Source organism: Homo sapiens, chromosome 4 (assembly GCF_000001405.40).
Source record: "Homo sapiens chromosome 4, GRCh38.p14 Primary Assembly".
Taxonomy (NCBI): Eukaryota; Metazoa; Chordata; class Mammalia; order Primates; family Hominidae; genus Homo; species Homo sapiens.
In genome coordinates this window covers 102559950-102587152 of record NC_000004.12, presented here as the reverse complement: position 1 = coordinate 102587152, position 27203 = coordinate 102559950, and the positions used below count along the sequence as shown (strand labels likewise).

General features: G+C 37.9%; 1 protein-coding gene and 1 long non-coding RNA gene across 14 annotated transcripts in view, besides 2 other annotated features; one reads left to right on the top strand and one right to left on the bottom strand.

Moving 5' to 3' along the window:
• The window catches only part of NFKB1 (nuclear factor kappa B subunit 1), a 115944-nt gene that overhangs the window by 30150 nt on the left and 58591 nt on the right, over positions 1-27203 (bottom strand). For 11 of the 12 annotated variants that reach the window (NM_001382626.1, NM_001382627.1, NM_003998.4 and 8 more), the window contains 6 exons: positions 20018-20166; positions 10114-10277; positions 8114-8272; positions 6514-6618; positions 4196-4287; positions 2333-2471 (listed from right to left, as the gene is read on the bottom strand). In NM_001382626.1, coding sequence (NP_001369555.1) covers positions 2333-2471; positions 4196-4287; positions 6514-6618; positions 8114-8272; positions 10114-10277; positions 20018-20166 — 808 coding nt within the window. The remainder of the gene's footprint in view (positions 1-2332; positions 2472-4195; positions 4288-6513; positions 6619-8113; positions 8273-10113; positions 10278-20017; positions 20167-27203) is intronic. The other variant, XM_024454069.2, reaches the window with a different exon arrangement.
• Positions 244-293: a silencer, noted in NCBI's record as "silent region_15598". NCBI's record gives its function as "represses an Ori minimal core promoter by ATAC-STARR-seq in GM12878 lymphoblastoid cells {active_cell/tissue: GM12878}" and the evidence as "EXISTENCE:reporter gene assay evidence [ECO:0000049][PMID:35858748]".
• Positions 794-863: an enhancer, noted in NCBI's record as "active region_21754". NCBI's record gives its function as "activates an Ori minimal core promoter by ATAC-STARR-seq in GM12878 lymphoblastoid cells {active_cell/tissue: GM12878}" and the evidence as "EXISTENCE:reporter gene assay evidence [ECO:0000049][PMID:35858748]".
• LOC124900742 (uncharacterized) lies at positions 20483-26682 on the top strand. Of its 2 annotated transcripts, none has more exons than XR_007058206.1 (3): positions 20483-20601; positions 22225-22328; positions 26595-26682. It is a non-coding gene; the product is annotated as an uncharacterized LOC124900742 (long non-coding RNA). The 2 variants fall into 2 exon arrangements; XR_007058207.1 differs by lacking the exon at positions 20483-20601 and adding an exon at positions 21775-21862.

The window sequence follows — 27203 nt, the reverse complement described above, 5'->3', positions numbered from 1 at the left end:
GCCGAGCTGGCAGGGCCCTTCACCCCTATTTTAATCAAAGCCTACCATGTCCATACACTGGGATTTTGTATGAAATCTCATGTGAAGAAAGAAAAGTTATTGTGCTGACAATGTTTTCAAACCACCAGGATATAGAGTGCACTACAAATCTGACCAAACAATGGAGAGGCCACAACCTCAGAAAAGAAACAAGAACTTGTAGAACCGTTTTCTAAACACTCCTGTGGCAGCACGAATTCTAGGAAAGGAAAGCCCTCTTCAAAGATTACCTATCACATCTTGCTCTCACAGGAGACAACACCCACCCATGTGGCTTGTTGCTGCTGCACCTTTGCGGTTTCCAACCTCAGCAAGGATCTGGGTGCCCCGTGGCAATCATTTTACTGACCTCCCTTCCCAGTCTCACTTCCCTCCAACTGAGGGGTTTCTAATTTTGTTTGTGCCACAGCCCCTTCTGCAGTCTGGTGAACTCTATGGATCTCTTCTCAGAATCATGGTTTTCAGTATGTAAAATACAAAACAGGATTATAAAAGAAGCTGATGATATCAAAGTACATTTCTATCCACAGACTCTTTGGGGGTCAGTGGACTCTAGGTTAAGAAATACCTTTGAATGATGACTCAGTTGGTGCCTGTTATATCTCGTTTTGAGATGATTCTAATGCTAAATTTCTCACCCTGTCCTCTCTTGAGTTCCAGTTCTGCCTTTTGATCTGCCTACTAAGAACTTACACTTGATTTTCCCACAGGGACCTAAAATATAACATGTTTTACTCTGAGCTCCTTCTTTTCCCACCCAAATCTACTTTTGCTCCCTTGTTCCTTTCATCAAGTCAACCACATCACAAGCTTCCTGGTCAGGGAGTCTTAGACCCATCTATGACTCCCCGTCTCTCCTACACCTCCGACCTCTAGGCCCTCTTGACAGTATCACTGTATCACAGTATCACTGCACTCTCTCTTAAGTCCACCATCTCCTTTCATTCCTGGCACTAGGACCTTTACTAACTGCACTGTTTCTCACTTGGATTCTTGCATTACTCTTCTGACTCATCATCTGCCTCCTAAATGGTACCCTCAGTGGTGACATAAAGAAGTCAGAGCCATCATTCCAAACCTAGGCAGGCCCGGCTATCCCTCTCCAGAATTAATGCAAAATTCTTAAGCTGCCATTCACAGCCCTCTTTAGCCTGGCCCTGGCCTTCCTTACCCACATTGGCCTTCATGTCCATCCGAGCGCTCAGAACACTTTTTTCCCTCTGCATAAACGCTGTGTTTACCTCTCTCTTTAAGCTCCTCAAGTAACTTAAACCTAGAGAACCCTCTCCTTCTCTGTTTAACACCCAACTGCTGAAATATACCCCAAATGCTGAGGGCCAAATGATATCTCCTTGACGAAGCCTTCTTTTTGGAGGCTGCTTTAGAATAAAGGGACCAAGGGCTCTCTCTTCAACATTCTCTTATATTTTTATGGATGCTTCACTTTCGGTACTTATTAAAATCATAATTTACATTATAACTATTTAAGAAACCTATGAGTGCCCTTTCTTAAAGCATCTTTTGTGAGAGAAAGAATGATGCCTTACTCATTTTCATAGTTTCACAGTGCATGTTGGCCAAGTTTTCTGTTCCACCGCCTGAGGCTGGTTGACTAACTGGCTGATTCTCCTAAACAGCAAGCCTGATTTTTTCATCTCAGCTGCTTGAACTCTGAGTTAGTCAATAAATGTTAGATTCTCAAATTCAAAGACAAATTCTCAATGTCTAAATCTCATATAAGCTTGGTGGAAATAACATTATTTTAAAAAGCTAGACTAATTCCATGACCTCAAAATAATATACTACTGTCTCTTCTAAAAATAAGCACCATGGATCCAGGGACCTGTTACTAGAAAGCTGTTCAAAGGAGGTGACTAACTGATCTTTTCTAATTAGCTTGTCCTCTTCTCAGAACAAGCACAATGGCAAGACATGGCAGCTCAAGCCTGTAATCCCAGCACTTTGGGAGGCCAAGGCCGGAGGACTGCTTAAGGCCAGGAGTTTAAGGCCAGCCTGGACAATGTAGGAAGTCCTCATTTCTATTAAAAGTAAAAAAAAAAAAAAATTAGCCCGGCATGGTGGCGCACACCTGTAGTCCCAGCTATTTGAGATGCTGGGGCAGGAGAACTGTTTGAGGCCAGGAGTTCGAAGTTGCAGTGAGCTATGATTGCACCATTGCACTCCAGCCTGGGCAACAGAGTCAGACTCTGTCTCAAAACAAAACAAAACAAAACAAAAACCAAAAATAAAATAAAATAAAATATGAGCATAAGATTTTAAACAACTGACTTACCTTTGATTTCAGGATAGTAGAGGAAAGGTTTTGGTTCACTAGTTTCCAAGTCAGATTTCCTCCGAAGCTGGACAAACACAGAGGCTGGTTTTGTAATATTAATATCTTTATACTTTGGAGTTTTGAAGACAATGGCAAACTGCAGGATACGAAGAACCACATGTTGGTGTAGGACTACATTTTTTTTTTTTTTGCAGTAATGCTACTCATTAAACACATTCCTTATGCTTTTCTTTATACCCAATGTTTAGACACAGTGTACTAAAAAACACCGTGTCCTGGAGAAAGTTCCAAACTCAGAATTCTATACCGATACATTTTTATGAAATTGCTACTGTAAAATCAAAATACAATGCTATGCTAATGTACTACGAAGCTTTATTATTTCATTTGTCTATTTCAAATGTCTTCTAGTTGTAAATATCATGCTTATAAAATTCACTGCATATACTTTCTTCTCTTCCAAAGCAGCCTTAAAAGCCTCCAAGATTATTTAGAGCAACATCAGAAAGACTGGGTATGGAAAGAGAGAGATGGCTACAGGCCAGTGATGAAGAGAAGAAACTAAACATTGCTTACATTGGCATCATAACACATTAGTTCTTGGTGGTATGTTAGGGATTTAAGCATTTTTCAGTTTGATTTTTTGACTATGTAATATATTCACAGGGATAAAGATCTTATAAAATATAAAAAAGCATACAGTGGTATTCTCTTTGACATTCTTGTTCCCCATCCATGCAGTTCCTACAGTGTACCAGCCAGTGGTAAATACTGTTATTAATTTCTTAGGTATCCTTCCAGAATTTCTTTATGCATGAACATAGAATCATTTCTACACACACTTTGTTCTACACCCATCTTTTAAAATATTTTAACACTGTATAACTGAGATCTTTCTATATTAGTTCGCAGAGTACTCATTCTTTTGAATAACTACATGATATTTCATCAAAAGGACAGACCATAATTTAACTGGCCACTTACTGATGAATATCTGGATTGTTTCCAATCCAGATAATTACTTGTAAATAGGAGAATACTCTTCAATTACTTGTAAATAGGAGAATAATAATTAAGGTGGGGGCTCAGCATTATCATGTTATTAAATGATTAAACTGATCATTTAATCAGTTGCCATTGGGAAATCTTCATTTAACAGGATGACATCAGCTTCAATTAGAAGATGACTCCTAGAACACCCTTTTAAGGTGTTATCATAATTAGGTGCTATCATAAAATAGGTCTCATCATAATTACTTTGGTAGAACACTTAAAAACATTTTCATTAAAGGACCTGTGGGGCACTGTCTTATGGGTTAGGGGATTAGGCAGCAATTAAATATCTTGCCAACATCTCAGAGCAAACGATCTAACAGAACCTTGCCCATAACTCTACAGTAGGTAACTTTTTTGGATGACCTGCATGAGTCTTAAAAATAGTACTGTTTTATGGAAGTTAAATATTTATGATTTTTCTTTTTTATAGATGGAAGCTAAGTACTAAATTTCAATAAGGCAGAAAGTATAAAATGATGATAGTAATATGGATCATGCCTATAATCCCAGCATTTTGGGAGGCCAATGTGGGATAATCGCTTAAGTCCAGGAGTTCAAGACGAGCCTGAGCAAGATGGCAAGACATCATCTCTACAAAAAAAATAAAACTGAAGAAACTAGCTGGGCATGGTAGCATGCCTGTAGTCCCAGATATTTGGTAGGTTGAGACAGGAGGATCCCTCAAGCCCAACAGTTGGGGGATACAGTGAGCTGTGATTGTACCACTGCACTGCAGCCTGGGTGTCAGAGTGAGATCCCATCTCTAAAAATAATAAGGATTAATAATAATAATAAATCACTTACTTGTCTATGAACATCTGTGGGGGAAAAATCTCCAAATCCTTCCCAGACTCCACCATTTTCTTCCTCTTCATAAAATCGAATCTGGATGTCATCTGCAAACAATCACATTGAAGTGTGTAATTTCACATAGTGTAAATAGTATTTATAAACATGCTGAAAAATAAAACTGGTTTAATATTCTACCTACTATCTATTTACACTTTTAAAAAACAAGATCAAAAGGTTCAGTCTTTTAAAATCTTCACAAATCACTGACTTTTTTCATTATTTACCACAGTAATGCGCCCCAACTTTCATTCACAATGACAGAATACTAGATTTACCTAGTTAACTTGAATTTTCTTTTAATCTTTGACCTTACTGCTTCTCCATCCTTAAGCCAATCCTGAGAAACACGAACGATGGTGGAAGAATATTAGAATCCAACGAGGCAGTGCAATTCAATATATAGATGTACATAAAAATAATTAACTTATATAAGTTTTACTATTAATGTATGGCAGATGCTATTCTAAGTGCTTCATATATACACATATTAACTGATTTCATCCTCACCACAACCTTGTGATGTAGATGGGTACTATTATTATCCTCACTTTGCAAAAGAGAAACTGGGGTCCAAAGAGGTTAAGTACTTATCCAAGGCTGAACAGCTAGTACTTGGAGGAACCAGGATTTTAACATAGACAGTATAATTTCAGAGTCCAGGCTCTTAACACACTATTAAACTGTCTCACTATAATAGTCTCTTAGTTCATATTGAGTAATTGGTCAAAATACTATAATAATCAGGTCCCTTCTAATTAAAATGCAATGCTTAAATTGCACACTCTAGTCATGGAGTGTGTTTATAAATACTCCATGTTCAGCATGTTTATAAATACTCTATTCACTTCTACAGAAATGTGACAATGTAACTTAGGTTGGCATCTTCCTGGCTTCACTTTCCGTTTCATAGAAAGGGCCACACTATTGACTTTGTTCAAAGTTTTTATCTCTATGTAAGTAGAATTTTAGAAATACTAGGAATGGATAAAACATCTTACAATCTCCTTTGCCTTCAGGTAGGACTACACTGGACCTAGTTATTGAGATTCTTTAAGCCAAGTACAAGACATTTCTTACTAAGCCATTCCAATGTAATGATAATGACTAAGGATCTCATTTACAAATAAAGGTACTCAGATTGTGTTTACTCACAGTATGTACACCCAGGAATCTGGAAATGAGTATTACTTGGACAGAGTGGATTGGAAGAAGGCTGACACTAGTGTAGGCAGAGAAAGTGTAAACTTCTTTTTTTTGAGACAGGGTCTCGCTCTGTCATCTAGGCTGGAGTACAGCAGCATGATAATAGCTCACTACAGCCTCAAACTCCTGGGTTCAAGCAATCCTCCCACCTCAGCCTCCCAAAGTGCTGGGATTACAGGCATGAGTTACCATGCCTGGCCTGTAAATTTTTTTGGATAAAGTATATATGTGTTTACTTTAAAATCTGATCCCATTTTTTTCTGACTATATACCTCAGAGAATTTAATCTCATATGATAATTTTTTTAAAAGCCACATGTCTTTTATTGATTTATTTTACTTATTTATATTTTCAGTTAGGTATCTGCTTACTTTGAAAATGCTCACCCTGTAGTAAATAGATATTATACTACACTTTCCAACTATCATTTTATTTAAAAAAAGAATGCAGTTTGAGAAAATAACACATTTTCCTCAGCTTTTACTAATCTATCAATGTTGTAATATATCTAATGAAAGATAAACGCCAAGAACCTTTCCTCAAAGGGAAAATTGTGAGAGAAATGTGCTCTGAGAATTTCCCTGTATTCCCTGTTTTCTTTCCTTTTCTTAAACATCACATCTGTGGAAGTGTTCAGAGAAGTTCTCTCAGTGTTATATCAAAGCATTGCAAAAGAAATAAAAACAATTTAATACTATGTAAAACATTATTCTGTGTGTGTGTTTGTATGTGTGTCAAGAATGGGCTATTATTTATTTTTGTTTAACAAAGTACAGATATTAATTTTAATGTATAAAGATACTGAAAGTCACTGATTATAATTATCACGGTTTTCTTATTTCTTTTTACTTCCATGGGAAATCTAAAAGTGATTTAGTTGACTTAGGAAAAAATAACACAGACAATTTACATTTGGAAGAGGTAAAACGTAAATGCTTTTTAAGACTTTCTGTGGCAGCAGAGGGATGTTTCTTGTCCACTGCTGAAATGTGACTCACAGACACACTCAGAACTGTAGTGTGTCAAGATCACACCTCTTGAGATCAGAGATCACAGAATGTATTTACCTTTCTGAACTTTGTCACAAAGAAGATAAATTTCCTCCCCTCCAGTCACACATCCAGCTGTCCTGTCCATTCTTACAATTTTCAAGTTGGATGCATTGGGGGCTTCTGTTCACAGGGGAAAAACAACAAATAACATGATTAATCCTCAGCTCAACAAGCCAGTCCTTTAGGTAGGACCCTCCCCTTAGCACACATGACCAAAACAAAGCTTAAATACATGCTTTCACTAACAAAGTAAATAAAACAAGAATGGCTTCTGAAATTCTCGGAACACTTCTTGGGCATGGGTCATTTATGATCACCAAAACAAATGAGGTAGAAAGGAACAGGTATTTGTTTCTCCCTCTAACACAGAGAGACTGACACAAAAAGAGAAAGAGCTTTTCTGATGTATTGGGAAGTACCAAGCTAATTGATTTCTGGGCTTTCAATGAGGTCAAGACTTCAATTCCAAATTTGTTTCCATGATTCTGCTATTATTCTATTTACAAGAGTCCTAAAAACTTTAGGAAAAGTACAGTTTTCTTAAACTACTTACTACCTTTTATTTTACAGGTAAGGAAAATGGGGATGTTATGTTTCTTTTTCCCAAACTAAATTAGGATTCTGTGTGGTGAAGAGGCAAAACTTTCTTGTGGTAATAGCATAAAGCTTCCTTTTTTTTTTTCTCCAACAGCTGCATTTTAAGGTGATTCTGCGGTATGAGTCTGTATCATTTTATAACCTTTCACTTCCCTTCAAAGTTGTTTAAATTAGAGAATTCAGTTAGTTGTTGTACTTGGAGCACAGAGTTTTCCACACAGGCCAAATTCTATAAACTTTCAATGAGTCTGAGTACTATGCTTGCAGGCTTTTTGAAAATACCTGTCTAATCAATCCTATGCATAATCAAACAAGAAAGTTGCATGGTAAATGCTGAAGATTACTGTAAAACTCTTAAAAAGTCCTAGGAACTATAAATTAATATATATATACATATATATATATATATATTTTTTTTTTTGAGATGGGGTCTCATTATGTTGCTCATGCTGGGCTGAAACTCCATATCCTCCCACCTCAGCCTCCCAAGTAGGTGAGACTACAGGGCATGACGCCAAACCCGGCTTGAAATAGGATTTTGAAGTCACATGCTGTCTATGCTACTCATTCATTTAACTTCAAGTTTCTCTCTTGATAAAGCTAGTAACATATGGGAAAGAAAATGGGTAAGAATAATAGTTGTCTTTTATAAACTCCTTTCCAGAGTCCCCCCACCACCAAAGAAAATTGGGATTATTCTCCCTTCTAAAAGTATCAACCATATATCTTTATAGCAAGACATTCATAAATAAGATGAGATGTGACATTTCATGTAAAAGACTAAAAAATGTACATCAAAGGAAAAAGAATTACATGTATTGAGCCCCTCTTAAAATACCTCATTTAACCTGGACATCAACCTTTCAAGCTAGATTTTCCTATTCACATTTTACAGATGATAAAGCTGAGGCTTAAAGTGATTAAGTTACCTTCCCCAGGACTCAGCTAGCAAGTAAATGGCAGGGCAGGGCTGGAAGTCTATTCTTGGTGTGCCCCCTGTTGGAAGTGAAGTACTCACTACTGTCATAGATGGCGTCTGATACCACGGGTTCCAGGCGCCTTGTGAAGCTGCCAGTGCTATCCGGAAGAAAAGCTGTAAACATGAGCCGCACCACGCTGAGGTCCATCTCCTTGGTCTGCTGCAGAGCTGCTTGGCGGATTAGCTCTTTTTCCCGATCTAGGGCCATACAGCACAGTCCATTCATGCCCAGGGAAGTGTGAACATTTAAAAGACCATGCTTTTATAAAGCCCAAATAATGTAAACTTACAATAAAAACCCATTTTTCCTCTTTTGAAACTCTTCATATTGCTAATAAAGTGTTAAAAACAGTCTCATTTATGTCATCCAATATGAAAGGCATCAAAGAAGACCTGCATTTTCTCCGGATTACAGTAAAAACTCTCTTCCGTGTATCAGATCGCCTCCCTCCTCTCCTGTCCTTCCCCCACCTTTCCCTTTCCTCTCTACAGTAAGAGTTAAAGGCACACAGGATGTGATGGAATGGAATTGAATAACCCTACTAGGCACCAGCTGTATTGAGAAGTGTGCAAATTATTCCAAGAGCTGCTTGGGCACAGGGAGTGAGCTCATTCCACAGTGCCAAGCAGACAGCCTGGCACATAGTAGGTACTCAAAAACAACTTCTGAAGGAACTGAATGACTCAGGGACATCTGTTTCCTTCCCTCCTGCTGGAGTTTTCACGCTGATGGATATAGTCATAATTAAGCTATAATATCATAAAAGGTAGTGATTCAAGAGACAAGTACTACAAGAGAGCTACAAATGAAGTGATGTGGGATTTCAAAGAAGGAGAGAGTTCAGAGGGCTTTGGAGCAGAAGAGGTATTTGCTCTGAATATTGAAAAGGTGGCAGAATTTGAACACATTCATATAAGAGAGTGGATAAAGGCATTCCAGGAAGAGGAGAGAGCAAAAATAGAAAGAATGTGCCAAGGCAGGAAAGTGAGAAATCATGGTGCTCCTACCAAGTAGTAGACTTTGACCTGAAGGGGCAAAACGGGAAATAGATTGGAAATGCAGCCTGAGGCCAGCTCTTGGGAGATCCAAAAAGCCAACTTACAGAATTTGGATTTTGTAGGCAAAACGGAGACACGGAGCAGCAACAAGATACAGAACTTCAGTAATATCTATCTGGCTACAAGATGTAAACTTGATTAGAAGTGGGGAGGGACAGAGACCAGGGAGAAGACTACTATAAGTGGAACAATGAAAATGGAATGTAGTGTGGAATGCCAGAGAGCACGGAATGGCTGGACCACAGCCTCGCAGCACAGGCGAGGAGGGGGAGTCAGTGAGGATGGGAAGGTTTTGAGTCTGGGTATCAGAAGATGGAGTATATTTAGTGGAAAACTGATAATCGGTTTTGAATCACATGAGTATCAGATGACGACTGGACGGCCAGAGTAAAGGACAAAATACAAAAGTAGAAATGGGGCATGTGGTGGGACAGGGAATGGGGTTGAAAAAAAAATTTGAGAAAAGGCAAGAAAATGGAAAATCATACAATTTTTATGATAAAGATAATAGTTTATAATGTGTCTGCAGAGCCCAAAGAAAGAAAAATGCCTTATAATAAGGTGAGTTGGGGAAGGTAAAACAGAGGTGTTCTTTAGACAAAGTCTTGATTTCTGCATTGGTTTTCGAGAGGGTGAAATGGAAACGGTGGGGTGTTTTTGGTAAAGGAAGACACATACAAAGGTATAAATATGCCTCAGTTATTCAGAGAGCAGAGATGGCAAGAGGAGGATGCAAGGTGGGCTGGAGATGAGGCTGAAAGTTGCTGGGGCCAGAGAAGCAGGGCTTTGTATGACAGGCTATGGAGCTATAGTTTTTATCCTAGAAGTAGCAGGATGCCATCAAAGGTTTCTGAGCAAGGAAAAGGTGACAGCAGTGTGGGGTAGAGACTGGAAGGGATGCAGATGAACATATAATTCATACAGATGAAAACCAAAGCCTGGACCCCTTGGAGGATCAAGGCCAGGAAAATGATGCTTACCTCCCAGCTGCCGGTCCCCTCCACCTTCTGCTTGCAAATAGGCAAGGTCAGGGTGCACCAAGAGTCCAGGATTATAGCCCCTTATACACGCCTCTGTCATTCGTGCTTCCAGTGTTTCAAATACTTTTTTCTTTGTCACATGAAGTATACCCAGGTTTGCGAAGCTGGAGAAAAAACAGTAACAGCAGCAGCAACAACAACCAAAAGTTAGGCACTTAATGTCTAGGGAATCTGGCTTCACTTGTAAATTAAAAAAAAATACACAGGCCCTCAATGCTTTATACAAATCTCTTGGGGCTACATGCATTTCAGAATTTAGGGTATTTTTGATGTTAAAAAGGCAATATATGGCCTATACTGCATATTACATAATACTCTAAGCAGGTCTGGGGCACACAATGTAGTCAAACACGTTAGTATTTCCTCAGCGAAATATATAATTGGACTCACCAAATGGAAAAATAAAGACTATAAACAGCTACACATCAGGTCAGATTGGTTTTTACTACCAAATGAGTCTGCAATAAACTTGGAAGAATGTTTTGGTTTTCAGAGCTTATTTGACTTCCAAATTTGATTACGGGAGTGGGAGCATATGTGTCTATATGTCTTAATGAGGAAGTCTTACCGGGTTCATTTTAAAGTATTTTCTATGGGAGCTGTATTAAAAATTCAAAATTCAAAATACTAACAACTTCTTAAGAATAAGAAGAATATTATATTTGGAATGATTATTTTCCTTTTGAATTGTCCTTGGGTTTCTGAATGGGATTTAAAGTCTACTTATAATCTCATCTTCTCCTGAGTTATCTATAAGGTTGGAATTATTTATGACCATTAGAGTTGTCATCTAAGTATACACGTAAACAGGGATGGAGAATCTTTTATCTCACGAAGGCTACATATTTATAAAACAAAATATGTGATAAGCTTAAAAAGCAATGAAAATGATTTATAAGAAAATATATAAAATGTTCCAGCCATTCACTTTTGAAATTAAAGTACATGAAACAAAGAAGTCTATTCAATAAATATAACAGGCAAACAAAAAAGGACTTTACCAAGGAGATTCATTCACTCAACAAATATTTATGCAGATCCTTATCAGTGCCAGGAAATGTCCTAGATGCTTTTGTCAGCAGTAAAAGAATCTCTACCTTCACTGAATTTATATGCTAGTGTGACAACGGAGAAGAAACAAAGAAGTAAATTATACGATACAATTTAGAAGGCAATAAGTGTTATCCAGAAAAATAAGGTAGGAATGAGGAACAGGAGAGGTAGTAGAAAAAAGCATAACATTTTAAAGTAGGGAGAGGTCAGGAAGGACACTCAGTAAAAAGATGACAACTGAGCAAAAACTTGAAGGAAGCGATGGGGAAGACATGAACATATGAATGATGAATGTGGCAAAAGGAACAGTAAGTACAAAATTCCTGCGGTAGGACCACGCCGGTGTTTTCAAAACACAACAAAGGCAAGGAGGTCAATGTAGCTGGAGTGAAATGAGCAAGTTGTCAGAAGTAAGTGAAGAATTCAGAGAGGTAAGCAGGGGGCCAGATCTCTGGCTTTTACTCAGAAAGAAAGAAAGAAAAAAAAAATTAGTAGAGGAAAGAAAGAGATTTCATGACAACTGGATTGAAGGAAAGAATGAACAAGCTAAGGTAGGAAGGTCAGATAAAGTAGGGAAGAAAATAGGAGTTATAAGGCAGAATGAAATGAGCACTCATACCAGAGGCCCAGAGACAGAATAAGTCACGTGTCCAGGCAGATGAAAAAAGTGGATAGCTAAGACACAGAACAGAAAATATACCACTAGAAAATAAGCTCCTTGAAGGCAGAGATCTCTAGTCCCTAGAACAATGCCTGACATATGAGTGTTTAATAAGTATCTGTTGATAAAGGAATGCATGAATTAATACAGCACAGAAAAATATGCAACATGACATACTTATATGCATAGAAGCATAGGCAGTTTTTCAGAAACAATACCTATATCTTTTGGCCCTTTCAGCCTTACTCCCATATAGAACTTCCCTAACTGCAGGAAAACGGGGTTATCTCCTTTGTAATAGCAATGATAAACATCTGTGTAGCATCTTACACTTTACTGTCAATAATATGCTTTTCATGTATATTGCCTAATCTAGTCCCTGTGAGAAAAACATCATCCTTATTAATTTATTATGTGAATAATGAAGGATTTACTCTGGTTAACAAATGAAACAGTACAGAAGTCAGTCTTCTGCTTCAGGTAACGATAGAGTAAAACAGACTGGTTTGAACCTTAAATATCTAAAATACATGAAGAAATGGTTTTTAGACACTAGAAAACAGGCAGCACAGAACAGTAATCTTTAAGAAAAGGGAAATAAATAAGGTGAACCCTGTAATTACTCTGGCTTAATGCCTAAAGAGTCCCAGGCTGCAGCACAGGAAGGAGGAACCCCAACAGAGCCTGGCAATCTCTGAGGTTGAGGAGACACAGTTAAATATTGGAGGAAGCCAAGGAGGCTAAAACTCACAAGCAGAGTACCGGAAAGGAAGAAACCGCAAACAGAGATACACTCAGAGATCACTGGAGTCTTCAGCTGAGTGCTGTGTGTGAGGAAATATGTCAAAGCTGGGAAAAGAACCACCACAGAGGTGGAGGCAGAAAAATTACTGTAACACATATGGGGCTGGAATAGTTCAAGAAATCTTGTAATACATGGAGCATCAGGTTGAAAATTCAGAAAGGTACTGCCTTAGCAATGATGTCAAATTAACCCTAGAGTAAAGGTTTCTCTGGTCTCTCTGATAAAGCTTAAAAGTAAGTTTAGAAAGAATCAAAAAAATCAAACTGTTCCCAAATTTAACTTCATCCCAATCCTCAAACGTATTTAAAAGCACATCAAAAAAAAAAAAAAAAAAAGGAATCCAAGACTTAACGATACAAAATTCAAAATACCTGTCATCCAATAAAAAACTAACAGGCATGGAAAGAAATAGAAAAATATAATTCATAATTAGGACAAAAACTAAACAAAAATAGATCCAGAAGACAGAATTTGTACACAAGTACATTGAATAGCTATTATATATTCCATATGATCAGAAAAAGAAGAAAGCATTGGTATGTTAAGGAGTAACATGGCAGATATGAAAAAAAAAGACCCCAAACAAATCTATAGAAATTGCAAATTACAATGTCTAAGAGGAAAAAATACACTAGATGGAATTAAGAACATATTAGACACTACAGACAAAAATATTGGTGAACGTGCAGACACAGTAATAAAACTTTCCAAAATGAAAGAGAAAAAAAAGATTTTTTAAAAAACAGGTCATCAGTGAGCTGTAGGAAATTTCACATAGCCAAATATATGTGCAACTGGGGTTCCAGAAGAAGATGAAGAGGAGTGGACAGAAAATATATTTGAAAAAATAATGGCCAAAAAGTTTTAAAACGTACTAAATATATAAACCCAGAGATCTAAGGATCTCGATGAACCCCAAGCACAAGCAACATGAAGGAAACTATGCTAATATCCATATAATCAAATTGCTTAAAACGAGTGAGGAAGAGAAAATCTGAAAAGCTGCTAGAGAGAAAAAAAAATTATATACAGAGGAACAAAGATTAGATTGACAGGTGACTTCTTGGAAACAAGGCAAATCAGAAGACAGTGGAACAACATAGTTTAAGGATGTGAAAGAATAATACTGTCAACCTATAATTCTTTTTTTTTGAGACGGAGTTTCTTTCTTGTTGCGCAGGCCGGAGTGCAATTGTGCGATCTCGGCTCACCGCAACCTCTGCCTCCCAGGTTCAAGTGATTCTCCTGCCTCGGCCTCTCGAGTAGCTGGGATTACAGGCATGCACCACCATGCCTGGCTAATTTTGTATTTTTAGTAGAGACGGGGTTTCTCCATGTTGGTCAGGTTGGTCTTGAACTCCTGACCTCAGGTGACCTGCCCGCCTCGGCCTTCCAAAGTGCTGGGATTTCAGGCGTGAGCCACTGCGCCCGGCCTGTCTACCTAAAATTCTATACTCTTCAAAATATCTTTGAAAAACAAAGATAAAATAAAAAGCTATGAAAACATACACCTACTGAAAGAATTAATCAGCATCAGATCAGCAGTATAATAAAAGGAAGTGCCTGAGGCAGAAGAAAATGATACCAGATAGAAATTTTGACCTAAGAAACAGAATGAACAGCACTGCAAATGATAAATACGTGGTTAAATATAAACACCTTTTTTCTGATTTAAAAAGTTTCTTTAAAAGATAAGTGACTGTTTTAGATACTTTTCAAGAGAAGACACACATGCCACCAACAAACATATGGAAAAAGCTCACTAGAGAAACGCAAATTAAAACACAATGAGATATGATCTCACACCTGTCAGAATGGCTTTTATTAAAAAGTCAAAAGATAACAGATGCTGGCACGGCTGTGGAGAAGAGGGTACACTTATATACTGCTGGTGGGAGTGCAAATTAGTTCAGCCACTGTGGAAGCAGTGTGGTGCTTTTTCTTTTTTGTTTTATTTTTGCCCTTGTAAACTTGCTTATTTTTTATTATACTTTAAGTTCTAGGGTACATGTGCACAATGTGCAGGTTTGTTACATATGTATACACGTGCCATGTTGGTGTGCTGCACCCAGTAACTCAGCATTTACATTAGGTATATCTCCTAATGCTATCCCTCCCCCCACCCCACCACAGGCCCAGGGGTGTGATATTCCCCACCCTGTGTCCAAGTGTTCTCATTGTTCAATTTCCACCTATGAGTGAGAACATGCAGTGTTTGGTTTTCTGTCCTTGCGATAGTTTGCTCAGAATGATGGTTTCCAGCTTCACCCACGTCCCTACAAAGGACATGAGCTCATCCTTTCTTATGGCTGCATAGTATTCCATGATGTATATATGCCACATTTTCTTAATCCAGTTTATCACTGATGGACATTTGGGTTGGTTCCAAGTCTTTGCTATTGTGAATAATGCTGCAATAAACATAAGTGTGCATGTGTCTTTATAGCAGCATGATTTATAAACCTTTGGGTATATACCCAGTAATGGGATGGCTGGGTCAAATGGCATTTCTAGTTCTAGATCCTTGAGGAATCGCCACACTGTCTTCCACAATGGCTGAACTAGTTTACAGTCCCACCAACAGTGTAAAAGTGTTCCTATTTCTCCACAACCTCTCCAGCACCTGTTGTTTCGACTTTTTAATGATTGCCATTCTAACTGGTGTGAGATGGTATCTCATTGTGGTTTTGATTGGCATTTCTCTGATGGCCAGTGATAATGAGAGCATTTTTTCATGTGTCTTTTGGCTGCATAAATGTCTTCTTTTGAGAAGTGTCTGTTCATATCCTTTGCCCACTTTTTGATGGGGTTGTTTGATTTTTTCTTGTAAATTTATTTAAGTTCTTTATAGATTCTGGATATTAGCCCTTTGTCAGATGGATACATTGTAAAAATTTTCTCCCATTCTGTAGGTTGCCTGTTCACTCTGATGGTAGTTTCTTTTGCTGCGGAGAAGCTCTTTAGTTTAATTAGATCCCATTTGTCAATTTTGGCTTTGGTTGCCATTGCTTTTGGTGTTTTAGTCATGAAGTCTTTGCCCATGCCCATGTGCTGAATGGTATTGCCTAGGTCTTCTTCTAGGGTTTTTATGGTTTTAGATATAACATTTAAGTCTTTAATCCATCTTGAATTAATTTTTGTATAAGGTGTAAGGAAGGGATCCAGTTTCAGCTTTCTACATATGGCTAGCCAGTTTTCCCAGCACCATTTATTAAATAGGAATCCTTTCCCCATTTCTTGTTTTTGTCAGGTTTGTCAAAGATCAGATAGTTGTAGATGTACGGTATTATTTCTGAGGGCTCTGTTCTGTTCCATTGGTCTATATCTCTGTTTTGGTACCAGTACCATGCTGTTTTGGTTACTGTAGCCTTGTAGTATAGTTTGAAGTCAGGTAGTGTGACGCCTCCAGCTTTGTTCTTTTGGCTTAGGATTGTCTTGGCAATGCAGGCTCTTTTTTGGTTCCATATGAACTTGAAAGTAGTTTTTTCCAATTCTGTGAAGAAAGTCATTGGTAGCTTGATGGGGATGGCATTGAATCTATAAATTACCTTGGGCAGTATGGCCATTTTCACGATATTGATTCTTCCTATCCATGAGCATGGAATGTTCTTCCATTAGTTTGTGTCCTCTTTTATTTCATTAAGCAGGGGTTTGTAGTTCTCCTTGAAGAGGTCCTTCACATCCCCTGTAAGTTGGATTCCTAGGTATTTTATTCTCTTTGAAGCAATTGTGAATGGGAGTTCACTCATGATTTTGCTCTCTGTTTGTCTGTTATTGGTGTATAGGAATGCTTGTGATTTTTGCACATTGATTTTGTAGCAGTGTGGTGATTTTTCAAAGAGCTAAAAATAGAACTACCATTTGACCCAGCAATCCCACTGTTGGGTACACAATCAAAGGAATATAAATCATTCTACCATAAAGACACATGCATGTTAATGTTCACTGCGGCAGTATCCACAATAGCAAAGACATGGAATCAACCTAAATTCCCTATCAATAACATAAATAAATAAAGAAAATGTGGTACATATATACCATGGAATACTATGCAGCCATAAAAAAGAATAAGATCATATGTTTTGCAGGAACATGGATGGAGCTAGAGGCCACTGTCCTTAGCAAACTAATGCAGGAACAGAAAAACAAATACTGCATGTTCTCACTTGTAAGTGGGAGCTAAATGATGAGAACTCATGGACAAAAAGGGGAACAACAGACACTGAAGAAGGCCTTGTTTCTCCTCTGTATTTTGATATTTATATATCTACTCCTAGTGCTTACCAGTTGGTATATGCTATATGTATTAATTGGAAAAAAATTCCATGTCTCTAAACTGCCAGAAAGCAGAGAGAGTGTGGTGATTACTGGTAAGTGAACTGGCCTAAAGCAAAGTCAAGGAACACAGATATTTTCCATGGAATAAAAATGTCAACGAACTAAAATATGTTGAAACAAATTGTTGATATTCAGGGTTTAAAATAAAACACCAAACTAAGATTATTATTATTATTTTTTACCAAGAAAGGCAGTAAAGGCTAATTATATAAATGAATTTTAAAAAAGACAAAATTAAAGCTAACTTAAAAAATATTAAAATGACAAATCCCCTACATTACAGCAATCAAACCAGAATCAAGACTTGGCTATTTAAAACATGAATATTTATAACATAGATAAAATCCTTTTGAAAGTAGAAACTAAGTTTATTAAGAATTCATACTGAGGGAAAGATGAAGATAAACACTCCAAAGAAAGTAATTCTTTTGGTTTTGACAATTTAAAAGTTATTTGTCTTCTCATTGCCATTTTTTGGATATCTTTTTTGGTATGTTGGATTAGTGTCTTGCTTGTGAATCTATACTCTTTGCCTAATCTGTATTATTGAAAACAAGTTATCTTAGCTTCATTTCTAGTATTGACAAGTCTAAGACATAATTTTGGCTATCTTCCTAAGTTTCTCTATGTGATACTCTTATCTACAAGTCAGAACTAAATACTAATAATCAATGTCATACCATAAATATGTGTGTGGCAAGTTTGCTCATGTTATTTCATAATATTACGTAATGTTAGTTCAGTCCAGAATTCTGGAGATGTAAACAGCCTGAAGATAAGATTCTGTAGTGAAACTCTCTCATTTTATGAGGGAAGACATTAAGGTCCCCAAGAAGTCATGTAACTTGCCCCCAGTCCTCTGTTGAGAGCAACAGTACTGGGAATAAAATACTGGTTTCCAGAATGCTAGCACGATGTTCTTTCTACATAAATGCAATAAGTTTTGACATTGAAAATCTTAAAAATGTATATATAGAGAGAGATAGAAACAAATGAATTATGAAAGAAATAGTGTATTTTGGGAAACATTGTAAGCAAAAATTTCTCAGCTAAAAATCAAATTAGAAAGTGAGTACTGACTTTTCATAGGAAACACTAAAAACGTTAAGACTACTGAGTCTATTGTAACTCTCAAGTGGCATCTTGATTAAATTTCTCACTGAAATTATATAGGGTTAGAAAATCTCACTGCTCTACAACCAGACATCATAATGATCAAATTCAGGAGCTGAGATGCTCAAAATGTTTGTTGAATGAGTGAATGACTGATGAGTTCTCCCAACTACTGAGCCCACAACCCACTGCACTACAAGAGTGAAAGAATCCCTCACTTTCCTTAGAAACAATTTACTTCTATTCCCGCTTTAAGGTCTCAAATTTAAATAACCATTAGTTCTTTCTAAAATCCTGAAAGATTACTAAAGCAAACCACAGAAACACCAAATTATAGACACCATACTGGAGGTTTTATAATAATAAATACTAGTAGAAAACTTCATCTAAAATTTCCTCTAAAGGATATGATTATAATAGGGATTAAACAAGACCAAAGAAAATAAACACTTCAAACTGACAGAACCCTACTGGAATAAATCTGCAGAAACACTAAGTGATCAATCAGTCTAAAACTGTGATAATTAGCCTGCATTTCAAAGCTCTCCTAGGTCAATCAGGAATTGGAAGGGTATTCCACAACACATGATGAACAAACTGTGACATACAACAGGAGACACGCCAGTCTTTCAAGAGGATGTTGAAACAAGTTCATATAAAGCACACTTTAATTTTTCAAATCAATTTAAGCTTCTTCCTTCAATCTAGAGTCTTTTTTTTTTCTAACATCAAAAGAATCCGATTTTAGTGACTTAAAAGAAAGCTCTCTCTCTAGGTTTTTCACACTTAAATATTTTCACAGTCAAACAAAGAAATACCTAGGAACATGAAAGCACAACCTCCAAAATAATAACCAATTTGAAACTTGATCGGAATTCAAAGCCTGAAATGCAACCATCAGCTTAATTATAGTTGATTTAAACAATTCCTTTCTTTTGAGTGAATAAGCCAGATTAACTGGGATTTCAGCATAAACTATTTAAACCAGGATTAGAAAACCCTGAAAAATGTTTTTAAAAATTAAACAAAATTAAAAATTTCTTCTTTTGCATTTAAGGACTTCCAAAGAAAGACTTAAAACAACAATTTTTAGAATTATTGATTGCACATATCAGTTTGTATTGTGTGCTACACTATTATTCTGTGTGCCATTTTAGTGTATTAGGAAGATGAAAATACAAGTTTTTTAGCACAATAAATATGTCTTATTTAAAAGCTTAATTCTTTTGGATTGAAATTACTTCTATAAAACTTCATTCATTAAAAATTGCTTGTTTTATTTGATCAACCCTTAAATGAATACGTCATTTTTTATTTACATTTCAAGCCTAATGAATGCCAAAATAAATTTGCATTCCTTGGCTTCTTATCTGTGCATTACTTTCTAAGCAGCAGAGAGCTGAAATGATATTTATGCATTCACTTAAAGCCCTACATATTCACACCATAAATCCACTGAAGAAATCATCAAGAATGTAAAAATATACATAAAGTGATGATTTCTGCTATAGTTATGTTTCTTTAAATTTGTCCTTATTTTTATTTCTAGGAGAAAAAAAATTAATAGTGGCACAAATACCTTGTAGGTCAAGTGACCACATATAAGTGATCATCCAAATTGGGCCACCTTTAAGAGTAGAAGAGGGTGCTATAAACAATTAGGTCAGGGGCAAACCGGGCTGTCTCAAGCAAATCCAGACATGTGGTCACCTTACTTCCTGGAGTCCAAATGAAAGCACAAGTTTACACAGTTTTTTGAGGTCATCTGAGGGTCTCAGAAAGGTCCCTAATGAAAGGGGCCTGTTCATTCTAAGTTCCTGCATCCCATATTCTATCTGTTCCTACCTTCCACAGCATCATATACCCCTACTTACCCGACCACCATGTCCTTGGGTCCAGCAGTTACAGTGCAGATCCCATCCTCACAGTGTTTTCCCACCAGGCTGTGGGCATGCAGGTGGATATTTTTTCCATTTGTGACCAACTGAACAATAACCTTTGCTGGTCCCACATAGTTGCAGATCTATATAAGAAGCACATTCCAAAAGTTAGCATATCTGACTCTCCAGCAACATGGAAACATGTTTATGATAAGCCAGTAAGTATAAAAAGTACAATATAAAGTTATTCATATATGTATATACATGATTACAGCCCTGTTTTTAAAAGTATGTGATGAACAAATGACAGGGTGGAAGTAAATGAAAATGTTAATGGTGGTTGTTTTGTGTAGTGGGAAGATACACTCCAAGAAGCAGGCCACTTAAAACACAATATGTATTGTGAAAGTTGGAGCAACACATCTTAGAGGATGCTGTGTTGTCATGAAGCCTCCTTTCCTATTAACCAAGAACATGCCTTCCTCTGCATCCTCATCAAAATTCTTGGTCACAAAAGCTGGGTAAATGATTGATGAGAAAGAAACTGGTGGTTGATGGAAATCAAAGGAAGAAGGCAGGTAAGCAGAAACAGTCCATCCTAACTCTGTGCCATGTGATTAGACAGGAGAATCTTGCCAGGGACCTGGTTCTGAAGTTTGGCTATAAACACTCAAGCCTGAGGACTTGGCCTCCAGTCATCTCTTAGAAAACCTGAGCCTTCAGTAGCCCTCTCTGACTTCTGATAATTGAGTTACATATGCTCAGGTCATAGTAAGTTTCTTCAATTCAAAAAAGTGTACTCCTTAAGTACAAATCCTTAGATTTCACCCCTGTTTGCTGTTGCTTGATAAAATTAGAGTTTTCTATTTAAAGTAATTTATTTCTTATTGGTATGTCTTTAAAATGATGACAATAGCAATAAAAAGGAAATAGCATGGAGATAATGACATTTTTAGCAAAAAACACTTAGATATCCTCTTTCTTCTTCTTAGTCACCTAGCCCCTGTAGTAGACTGGATTCCTTCCTTGAGAAAGTGCCAAGACTAAAGTCACACTAACATAACAGAAAAGACCTTATTTTAACCCTCTTAAATCCTATCAAGTCAGAGCCCTGTGATAAATTCAGCTAAATACTTGGAAATGCACTATAATCTCCTCACAAGATGAACTACTATCCTGGTTTGCCTAGGACTGAGGGGTTTTCTGGGACACAGGGTTTTTGGAGCCAAAACCTAGATTAGTTGGTCACCCTATCTCCTTAGCTCATACTGTACTTTTTGAAGAACTGAATAACCTAAGCCCCAAATCTCTCAACTACGCAGTAATTCAAAATGCATAAATCTGTACAAGCAGCCCACAGCTTGAAAGAAAGAGAGACAGAGAGAAAAAGAAAGGTAGAAAAGGAAGGAGGAAAGGGAGGAAGGAACGATGGGACGGAGGGAGGGAGGGAGAGAGGGAGGGAGGATGGGAATCACACCTAAAGATAACTCTTTGATGGAAGTCCTAATGATATAAACTTGAGGAAGACCCTAAACCTGCCAATAATACTTGGAAAGAGACAGAATCCTTTTCGACTAGCCTACTTCTACTATAAACTTCATTAAATGGATTCATATTTTATTGAAGCAGGGTTTTGGTACAATTTTCTTAGTAGGGACTTTTTCCCAACCCAATATTTCATCCAAGAGTCGAAAAGCTGATCAGAGTTGGCATTATTCCCCAGAGGGTTTGCAGGGAGAGAAGTTTCACTCGTCAACAAAGGACAGACTCCCCTACAGTCAACTGTGCAGCTCCACCTCAAGGCCTGTATGCATGCACTTGGCTAGAACTGCTGCAAAGGTTTGCTTCTAAACCTTCTAACCTCCTTCTCAAAGAGCAGGGTCCCCAGAGCAAGCCAATCACGAAGAGGGTTGCTAATTAAATTTGATCTTGACCACCTCAAAGCACAAAAAATTTCTTAAACAGGTATAACATTTAAAAAAAAAAAAACTCTGGGTATAAAGCTAATTATGAACTCAGTGCTTTCCCTTTAACAAGGAGAAAGTCTTTGCCCTTAAATGTGGGATGGGGTATGAGAAGTTCTGGGTTTTCTCCAAAGCTGACTGCTGTCCCTAGATACTCTCTATAGATTGCTGATGCCAGTTGTGTTTCTTGGTGTTGACATCTGAAATCAGTCTTTGTTATGATGATATATCCCACAGGGGCTTCTTCAGCAATAAATCAAGAGTGAAAGAACACGAAATAAACCATGTAATTACACTTTTAAGTGACACCAGCACAGGAATGCAAGAGAGCAAGGCATGAGGTAATGCTTCATTTGGGTGAAATCAGCTAGGCTTTCCAATTTAATAGGACACCAGAAGGAATCCATAATTAAAGCCCAATCACGTCAGATAACTGGGCTCTTCAATGTTACCATTATGAGGCAATTAGTCTCTGGTACTGAAGGAAAGAGGTCCGAGGTATCCTCAAAAAGTACTCATGTATTTTTCATATTACTACTTCATGGCTGAAGGGTGGCAAGAATGAGGAACTGGGTAATTCCTGAGGTAAAGGAGCTGAACATGCTGCCAGTGACTCATGTGCTGTTGGATCCATTTGAAAGAGTCCAAGTCAGCATCGCATCATCTGGTTTTCACAGAGACCACAGGGCAACAGACAGGGAGCCCCCTGGGTTTTGTGGACTTTCCAAAATACTGATGAAAGAAGAAAGCTGAAGTGTGAGAAGACAGTGATACTATTTGCAAGTTATATGGTACATGAAGACACTGGCACTCTAACATGGGGGAGACCATACTTCATAGGATGTCATGATGACGGAGAACTGTTTGCAATCGATTCAGAAATTCATTTGCTCTACGGAGAACTTAGTTCTTTTTATTCAGTCTCCCTTTTACTTCTTTGAATAGTGGTTCCTTTGAAAATTAAGTTTATAGAGAGCAACTGTGTCTGTTAGGTTTTTTTCAAAGCGTCTGAACATTGCAGGCTCTTATTAAGAGTTAAGCTTTCGGGCCGGGCGTGGTGGCTCATGCCTGTAATCCCAGCACTTTGGGAGGCCGAGACGGGTAGATCACCTGAGGTCAGGAGTTTGAGACCAGCCTGGCCAACATGGTGAAGCCCTGTCTTTACTAAAAATACAAAATATTAGCCGGGCATGGTGGTGTGCACCTGTAATCCCAGCTATTCGGCAGGCGGCAGGAGAATCACTTGAACCCAGGAGGTGGAGGTTGCAGTGAGCCAAGATCAAGACACTGCCCCTCCAGCCTGGGTGACAGAGCAAGACTCCGTTTAAAAAAAAAAAAAAAAAAAAGAGTTAAGCTTTCAGTTAAAGTCAAGGAGACAAAGGTGACAAAACTGAGTACTCAGCTACCCAGGGACACTGTAAGAGCATGGACTTTAGGCGCAAACCAGCTGGGCTTGAAGATAGTTCCCCATTTCCTGGTTGTGTGACTTTGGGCACTGCTCAGTTTCCCCATCTGTAAAAGGGAGATGATGATAATAGTATCTCAAAGGGTTGTTGTGAGGACTAAATACATTAATGCATGTAAAGCCTTTACAACAATGCTCAACAAATAATAGTAGTTTAAAAGCATTAACTTGTCTTATTTATTAATTTATTACTGTAAAGTACTCTTCCACCTAGAGAACTTTAAACAATATGACCATCCTGAAAGTTTTTTTTTTAAGTACTATCTAAAAGCAGGTGGCTGGAATAAACGACTGATTTAGGTCACTTCTATTTCCAGGGTAAATATTTTTTTGCATGCCATATTTTATTGGGCTTTGCTAATTTTCCAGTAGTAATTATGTTATTATAGTAACAGCTATCATTCTTGGAGACACCCAGGACTTCTTGGCATTCTTGATGAAACTTAAGATTTTCTTCCAGGAGCTTTATGACTCAATACCTACTGATGACCACATGCTGGATCTGCTTTTTGAATAAGATGTAGAAACCATGGGTCTCAGATCATACCAATCTTAGTCAAATTACCTCTTTTTATTTAAAACAATTTTGTCACGTTGGGGTAAAGTACATGCTGGTTCTTCAAAGGTGGTTACAGGATGTAGTCTATAATTTTCTAGGAATCAGGATTTGAAATGTCCACTTTGCTCTTTGGGTAAATTCAGCCAAATCACTTTGGCAGAATGTAGAGTTAACATGAATGTAAGAGGTGATACATGAAGTAGTTCTTTTCTGCTTAGCTTTGCTTGTGAAGTGATTGATGATGATGATGATGACAATGGTAATGAAGAAGAGGAGGGGAAAATACACAATTTTCAAACGGAAATCTGTCCTGACTTCACGTGTGCACCTCACTTTGTCCTCTACTGCACTAAGCAGCAGAACAATGTGGTAAAGTCTAGGAAGTCTGAAGCCAGGCTGCCCGGCTCAAGACCGACTGTTACCACTTAGCTGTGTCAACGGGGAAAGATGGTTAACATCTCTGGATTTCAGTTTCTCTGTCTTTAAAGTTAAAAGGAATAATACACTTGATTTCATAGGACTTTTTTTTAGGATTAAATGAGTTAATGCAGTGCTTGGCACTTAATGGGATTAGCAATCCCAAATATAAATCCTCTCTCCCACCTAGGTAATACCTCACTAATAACCAACATTTCTCTATTTATTCAGCGAGTATTTAAAGCCCGTCCTATGTTCCACACACTGCAGTAAACTAGGGGATGAAGCGATGCATGGTGAATGCAGAACAGACACAATCTCTGTTCTTGTGGAGAATTAAAGAGTGGGACTGACACTAATCAAATAATCTCACAAATAAATGTAAAAGTGTAACTGAGAAGAGCTTACAAAGGAGATATATAAGAAGCACTTGACTGGGTCAGGAGGTCAGGGAAAGCTTCCTGAGGGAGTACTGAGGGTGGAGATCTGAAAGAAGGCTAGGAGTATAACCAGGCAAGGGGGTGGGTGAGGCCAAAGGGTTTAGAGGGTCTTGCTGGCAGGAAAAACAGCACATGCAAAGAAAGGCTCTGTGCTCAGAGTCCTACTCAGGACCTCCTTGGACCTACCCATTATCACGTCTCAGGATTTTCTTCAAGCTGACAACTCCCAGGTTGTTCCTCCACTTCCCTATTGAGAAGCACCCATTCTTCAAGAGGAAGACCTGAACCTGAATCTTCCATGACACCCTCCTCACCACTTTAGCCCACAAGGCTCCACTACTGCCTCCTTTTTCTGAAATGTGATTGGAAGGGACAGGCAGGAAAACCATATGCAACCTAGCGCAATATGAAGACAGGGTTCAGTAACTAAATGATTACTGTCAAATTTCTCTTGCTTGTTAAACTCCCAGAGCCTATACAGCTATACTTTCTAACTTACTGTGTTTTATGGAACATGCTAACTCAGATAATCCCCACAACAGCCCTGTGGGGTCAGAGGTTGTACCCCATTTCACAGCTGGAGGAACTGAGGCTCAGTAAGATAAGGTAGGTTGCCATGGTTCCTATAAATGGAGCGATCAGGCAATCCTTGAGCTTGGGTCTGTCCACCTCAACAAACTATTCACATTTCCCATTGCTCTGTGCTACCATGTGACATGATCATTTTTTCTTCTGTGTGTGTGCAGTCTCCTCAGTGTTTCATAGTTCTACTTTGCCTAGAGAGTGTTGATAGATGACAGTTATTCCTAAACACCTTGTTTGTTTGGCTTTGCTGGTATGTGTTGTGAGAAGAGAGGTCTCAGGAATGGCTATAAGAAGTGGTAGAGGTGTATCTGTCCCCTTGCAAGGCTCCTTCACAGAGTCATGCCACAGACATGAAACCATGCATTCATTCTTTTCTGTGAGGTTGCAAGTCAGATTATCAGGCACACACACACACACAAAAAAAAAAAAAAAAAGGAAAGAAAGAAAGAGAATAACGCTATTTTAATAATATTTCTTCTCTCAGGGATGAAAAACAGTCAGGCTTTATTGTTTATTACTTGTTGAGCAACCAGGGCAACCAGGAAGGACAGAATGACCTTTACCAAATAAGATAGTACAGAATTATGTCCAACACAGTTTCTGGCATAAAAAGATGCTTAGTAAAGTTAGTCTCTTCTTTCTCTGTCAGGCAGGAGATTTCAAGTTGATCTAGTCAGTGATCCAATCCCAGCTTTTCCCCCTCCTAGCTCTGTGGCCTTACACAGATTAAATAACCTCTCTGAGTCTTAAGCTCTACATCTACACAATGGGCCAATCACATGACTTCAGAGGGCTGCCGTGGGGACTACGCAGTCCCTGGTACATGGTAGGTACTATTAAAGTGCCAGTTTCTTTCCTTCTCTATTATTTGTAAAGACCCTTGGGCCTCCGAAAGTCCCTGTGAGGGAGGCAGAGTTGACTCTATTACCCCTATTTTGTAGATAAGAAAACAGAAGTTCAAACAGATTAACAAAGTGACATAACCCAAAGTCATACAGCCAAGACACAGAGGACTCTGGAATTCATTATGAGTCTTCTGAATATAAATGTGGTATTCTCAGTAAGGTAGGGGATGGCATGAAAAAAATCCTCTTTGACCCACTATTAATGGCATGTTTTTTTGTTTTTCTTTTCCTGGTAGTACTCATGGAGTTGCATTGATTCACTGACATTCTTTCACCTTGTTTAGTGCCCTTTTTGAATGACCAACAGCATATATGGCTCATGATATCAGGCTGGGATTAGAAGAGCAAACTGCCATTTGACATAATAAATAAGCTAAGAAGTTCTCGTGAATTACACAGAGACGATGAATAAAATCTCTATGTATAACTTTGCTCTGAAAGTTTTATCTTTTCCCTCATACTTTGACCCACGGTTTCCTTTTTTATTTTAACTTTCAGTTTTACTACATCAGATATAGCTGCTTACAAATCATGCTTCTTTCGAGAAAGAAGTAACACACTATTGCTAATTCCAAGAATTGCTGGGAACTTGTACCTCAACAGGTGTCATTCCATCATTAGCAAATTACAAATAAATCTTTACGTTTGGATGGCCTAATCATTCATCACTGCAAAATAATATGGGAGGAGCAGAGAGTTTGTAATTTATAAATGCACTGTCTTATAAATGTTCATGTATGTCACTTTTTTTTGCCAGTTGTGTGGATTTTTAAACAGAAAATAATGTATATAATACTGATATTCTAGTGCCATTTCTTATATTTCTTTTTCTTTCTTTCTTTTTT